Genomic DNA, 6,130 nt, shown 5'->3' with positions numbered 1-6,130 from the left:
CCTCCAGCCTCTGGTCGTGGCCAACATCCCGAGGGTTCCTTGGCTTGCAGATGAATCACTTAATCCCACCCCCATCATCACATGGCAGTCCCCCTGTGTAGCTCAGCTCTGTCCAAATTTCCCCTTTCCTACAAGGACATTAGTCACTGGATTATGACACAGCTCATCTTAACTGGATTATATCTGCAAAGACCCTGTTATATCTGCAAAGACGAGTTAACATTCACATGTTCCAGGGGAGATATGAATTTTAAGGGGACAGTATTGGACCCAGTATAGGAGGGCAGGCAGCAGCGAGGGAGCCAGGGAGGGCTGGCCTGACTTGAGCCTGTTTGAAAAGCATCATCCTCCTACCAAGACTGGGGGCTGCTGGTTCTGACAAGGTTTGCAGGATCAGCTGGGATGATGGGTTGCAACCACTCCTTCGAGCTACGTTGGACCCCTGGGCCCACTTACAGCAAGGAGCTTGCCCCTCCGTGTAGCTCTCCGTCAGTGTGGGAAAATCTGAGTGAGCCAGAGAAGGGTGAGATTCCCCCTGCAGAGCAGGCAGTACTGAGCAAATCCAGGATCCAGGAACTCCAGTTCTAATCCTGGCTCTTGCCTGCTTTCCTGTGTGACCCTGGGGAAGTGGTTTTCCCTCTCTGAGACTCTCCTTCCCCATGTGAGTCACAAGGGCTGGGCCTAGCTGACCCCCAAGGCCCTTACATGAGTGGATAGTTGCATTTTAAACCTGGTGCTCCCCAGGATAAGGGAGTCAACCCCAAGGAGACTGGGGTTTCTCCTGAGCCTGGCCCCTGGGGATGAGCACTCACTGTGGAAAAAGCTGGCCACTTCTTAGCCCTTGTCATGGGCAGAAAACATGCCCCTCCAGCCCCACCAGCACCAACACACAGCCAAGCTCACTGTTTCATTTTTAGAGAGAAATCAGGGCTTTCGGTGCAGCTGAGTGACACAGACAAGGGGCGGGGGGACATGAAAGGGAGCGGGCAAGGACGGAAATTACACTTCTCCTAGCAACCTGGTTCTGCAGCTCCTAGGCCTGGGGCCGCGTGATACATGCCATTCCCAATTAACGGGATGTTAAATATACCCCGGCTCAGCCTGCCCCATGCTGAGCCCCGCCTGGGGCAGTGCAGGGAGCCATGTGATGGTGTAGAGCACTCTGCAACACCCCATATTCATGTTCCCACTCCTAGGGCCCCGCTCGGTCCCCAGGAGGCCAGAGCGGTCCTGCCCTCTGCCCTGAGCATGGCTCAGCTCCAGCCTCCACTTGCCCTCCCCTATGCTGGCCAGCTCGGGGGTCTGCAGGCAGCCTGTGGGGCAGGGCCAGTTGGCCAAACTCTCCAAGCCAGAAGCCCCTCGAGTTTACATGGAAACACACGTATATACACACACACACACAGACACACACACACACACACACGGTCATGCGTATCCTCCCACATTTACATATGTACAGACACGCCTGCCTACCCACAGCTGTCACACTCACATGTGTCCCATGACCCCCATGACCAGTCCCTAGATCAGTGTAGGTATGCTCTAATACGGGCTCCAAGCATGTGCCCAGGAGGATGTGGGGCTCATCCTGCACACCCTGCTGCTGGGAGGGGAGCTGGTACAGGCGGGGCCCCTCTTTGCTTAGGAAACCTGTGCAGCTTCTGAGAGGCTGTTTCTCAGCCCTTCCCCCCCACACCCCCATGTAGGGCACACTAGCAGACCCGACCCAGCCCCCGATGCCACCCTGTCTTAATTTGAGTATCTGTATAAACAGCCTGGGACAAGAAATTTGGGTGCAAGTGGTTTGAGAGGGGATCCCAGGAGACTTGTTGGGGAAGTGAGACATCAGGCATGGAGGGAAAGGCAATAAGGGTGTGTTCACCAATGCGTTCCAGCTGGGGGCAACCAGAGTGCAATCCTATTTGGAATATTCTGGACGACTGAATAGGACACACCTTAAAACCACTCCCCTGTATACAGGATCCTAGTATTTACCTTCCCATGTGGGCTCTGGGGACAAAGGAGATGTTTACAAGGTCCTTTGGGAGGGAGATGCTGCACCCAGCTCAGTGGCCAGCACTGCCCTCGTCCTGTGCATCTGTGCCCATGAGCACCTCCTCTGGGCAGCTGCCAGGAGGGGTCTATCTGAGGCCACTGCCCATCCAGGCTGCCATCCATCTGTCTGCCAATCTTTCTGTGAGCACTTACCAGAAATACCTGGTATTTACCTGTCCCTTCTTATTCTTCATTGCTTGAGGATTGTCCACCCCCTGGGACATCCGTCCTACCCACCTGGAGGGCCAGGCTGCTCCCTTAGCCAGAGGAGAGAGGTGGGAACTGTGGTCAGGGCAGCAGGTGACGGCTGGGGTGACTGAGGGGAGCCATCCCACTGTCTGTTTGTCTGTGTCCCCTTGTGTAAACATCTGCACACACACACAGCACACATCTTAGCCATTCTCCCTCCTCTCCCCCGCTAGGTCCTCTGTTCCCAACACCCTGTTCACTGTGGGACCCAGGGAAGCAGGGACCTGGGCATTTCCCCAGATCTAGGAGCCCTCCTTCCCCAAAACCCTCCCCACCACCACTTGGCTCTTGGGTTTCAGCACCTGGCTTTAGCCCAGTCTATCAGCCGCAACCTCAGGCTTTGGAGCCAGAGACTCCCCAGGCAGACAAAGGGGCGGCTGCGAGGCGGGGGCCTCTGGGGTGCCAGTCCAGGTGTGCGGCGATTATCTTGAGGGCCTAATCAAGGTGCCTTGTCCCTAGCTCGGCGAGTGAATGACTGCCCCCCCGCCCCTCCTACCTCTTTCCCCATGCTGGCTGCCAGGATGGTGACAGACACCTGCTAGGCCATGGGCCCCTTCCCTCCCCTGCCTGGGTTCTTTTTGTGCTATCACAAAGGGGGACAAAGCCACAGCCCACCTGTTGAGGGGAGGCCTCAGGGCTCCCTATTTTTCAGCTGTGACCAGGCTCCCCCAGGTACAAGTCAGAGGGAGTGGACTGAAACTGCCTGTGAAAACCAGAAAATGGTATTGAGTGAGGGGTACCCATGGAGAGATTGGCAGAGAGATGGATGGCAGCCCAGATGGGCATCGGCATCAGAAGACCCCTTCTGGCAGCTGCCCAGAGGAGGTGCTTATGGGTGCGGGTGCACAAGACGAGGGACATGTTGGTCACTGAGCTGGGGGCAGTCTCCCTCCCAAAGGACCCTGTCAAGACCTTTGTCCCCAGGGCCCACATGGGTAGCTGAGCCAGAACCAGCCCTATCTTCTATAGAAGCAGCTGGGGGAGAAATAAAGCTCAGAAAAACAGATGGAACAGCCATAGTCACTCCACGCTGGGCCCCAAACTAGGTGCTGAGTGCCTGGGTGCCTGGCTGGGACACCTCCTTCAGACACCTGTCTTAGTGCCTGAGGTAAGTTGCCCTCTGCAGGGTGGGCACATAGAGGGAGCTGGCATCACAGACTGGCCCAAGCTGTCCATGAGCAGTCTCCTGGTCAGTTGCCTTCCCCTGGGGCCAGTGATATCCAGGCCCTTGCCTCCCCTTCCTCCCCACAATTTCCAAACTGTGTCTAAGCCTGCTGCCCAGCAGGGCTGTTGATTCCCACATACAATATGAGCAGTGCAGGCATGTGACACAGTGGACTGCAACTTTTCCTTGCAGGCTGGGGGAGAGAGAAAGAAACAAATGCATGTAGAGGGAGGGAGAGAGAGATCATCTGGAGAATAGTTAGAGACCATGAGTAAGACAGAAACAGAGAGAAGCCAAGTTTCTCTGATGGGAAGTGATGATTGCTGGTAAGACTGGCTTGCTAGGCCCCACAGTGCCCAGGCCATTAAGATGAGCCATGGCTTCCCCAGGACCATCCTTCAGAGCTGGGGGGTTGCCGAGGGGAGGGAACACATTATTCACAGCTAAAGAAAGACTCATTACTTTCCACCAACCTTTGGCTGGTATTGAATATACCATCGCTCCCCTGTTAACAAATGGCTTCTGGAGGGTTTAATTAACTTCTTAGCACCCTCCGGCAGGCAGCCTGTCCCCTACCACTGGGCAAAGGCTGAGTCAGCCATGTTGAGGGGCAGGGATGGCCTTCAGGAGAGGCAACTCCCACCCATGTGGCAGGGACAGGGAGGGGCAGTGTCCCTGTCTGACCTTGGCCAATCTACTGTTGTTACAGATGGGATGACCAAAGCCTAGATAGGAGAAGGTGGGCTGGGCAACTTGCCTGAGGTTACACAGCAAAAGGGAGGTTTAACCAGGCCTAGAATCCAAGCCTTGACAAACAGAGGGACCATTCTGGAACCTTAGCCATTCTTTCCCTGCCAAGGTCATCAGGTGTGATGAATCCACAGCACAGTGATTCTGTAATGACAGTCAGATGTCACTTAATGATGGAAATACATTCTAAGAAATGCATCATTAGGTGATTTTGTCATTGTATGAACATCACAGAGTGGACTTGCACAAACCTAGATGGTACACCCTCCTACACACCTAGGCTATACTATATTGCTCCCAGGCTACAAACCTGTACTACAAGTCACTGTATGGAATACTGCAAGCAACGGTAACACAATGGTAAGAATTTGTATATCTAGGCCAGGTGTGGTGGCACACGCCTGTAATACCAGCACTTTGGGAGGCCAAGACGGGTGGATCACGAGGTCAGGAGATCGAGACCATCCTGGCTAACACGGTGAAACCCTGTCTCCACTAAAAATACAAAAAAAAAAAAAAAAATTAGCCAGGCATTTTTTTAGTGGTGGGTGCCTGTAGTCCCAGCTACTCGGGAGGCTGAGGCAGGAGAATGGCGTGAACGCGGGAGACAGAGCTTGCAGTGAGCCAAGATCGCGCCACTGCACTCCAGCCTGGGTGACAGAACGAGACTCCATCTCAAAAAACAAACAAACAAAAAAAAGAATTTGTATACCTAAACAGAAAAGGTAATGCATTTTGCTGCGATGTTACAACATCACTAGGCAATAGGAAGTTTTCAGTTCCATTATCATCTTACAGGACCACCATCAAATATGTGGTTTGTCGTTGACTGAAATGTCACTATGTGGCGCACAACTATAATGGAGTAACTTGATCAAGACTCACGGCAAAGCTGTCCTGAAACTAACTCCTTTCAAATCCTCCTCCTCCTCATCACCAACATTTATCAAGCCTTCCCTAAGTGTCAGACACTGTGCTCACCCCTTTCATGTATAATTTCATTTAATCCTCACATGAACCCCATAGGGTATTATTACTATCCCCGTTTTTCAGATGAGGAAACTGAGGCTCAGAAAGATTAACTCCCTAGAGGTCACCTTTCCAGGACCACTAGGCTATACAGCCTCTCTTGAGAAGAACCCACATTATTGGACCCAATCTTCCCACTGAAAGGGAAACTGAGGTCTTGCCCAAAGTCACTTAGTTCATAAGTGGCCTCAAACTCATGGCTTCTGATTCCATGTTCAGCAAAGGCCCCTTTGACCTCATCACATACCCATCCTCTCTGCTTTACTCCAGGCCTCCTGCCCAACTTACCATCCTTCCTTTCTCGTGGGGCCAGGCCCCCAGCTTCCTGAGCCACACTAAACAGCCCCTTTATTAAAACTCAACCCAGACTTGGGAGTCAGACAGATCCAGGTTGAAATTCTACTCTACCATTTTGTGCTGTGGTTCTTGGACAAGCCACTCCCCCTAGCAGAGCCTCAATTTCTTCATCTGGCAAATAAAAACGCGCCCCATGGGACGTTTGTGAGAATTAAATATGTGCTCTAAGCATTTAGCCCAGTGTCTGACACATCATAGAATGCACTCAATAATAGTATCATTAGGATAAGGGTTCCACCTGGCCAGGAATACCCTCCTCCCTTCTACACCCAGCAATTGCAGTGCCCCTCCTCAGGAGGGTCTTCCCAATACCTCCCCCAGTTAGAATTGAGACAGAAAAGCTCTGGAGGACACTAGATGCTGGAACAGAGCCCTCTCCACCCAGGGGTGTGTGAGAGCTGCCTTTCCGGCTGCGGGCTAATTAATTGTGCAGGGCTGACAGCAAAGAGGGGCTACGCTTCTTGCCGGCAAGTCCAGAGCAATGATGGAATAATGGGCTTTAATGCACTGGGCTTCTCCAGGGAC

General features: G+C 53.0%; 1 annotated feature.

The window, feature by feature from the left end:
* Positions 1,305–1,952: an enhancer, noted in NCBI's record as "H3K4me1 hESC enhancer chr10:72800281-72800928 (GRCh37/hg19 assembly coordinates)". NCBI's record gives its function as "activates a minimal SCP1, AML or CMV promoter by ChIP-STARR-seq in naive H9 embryonic stem cells {active_cell/tissue: H9 hESC(naive)}" and the evidence as "EXISTENCE:reporter gene assay evidence [ECO:0000049][PMID:30033119]".

Source organism: Homo sapiens, chromosome 10 (assembly GCF_000001405.40).
Source record: "Homo sapiens chromosome 10, GRCh38.p14 Primary Assembly".
NCBI lineage: Eukaryota > Metazoa > Chordata > Mammalia > Primates > Hominidae > Homo > Homo sapiens.
The sequence above is the reverse complement of the archived record's forward strand: the minus strand, read 5'-3'. Positions and strand labels throughout refer to the sequence as shown.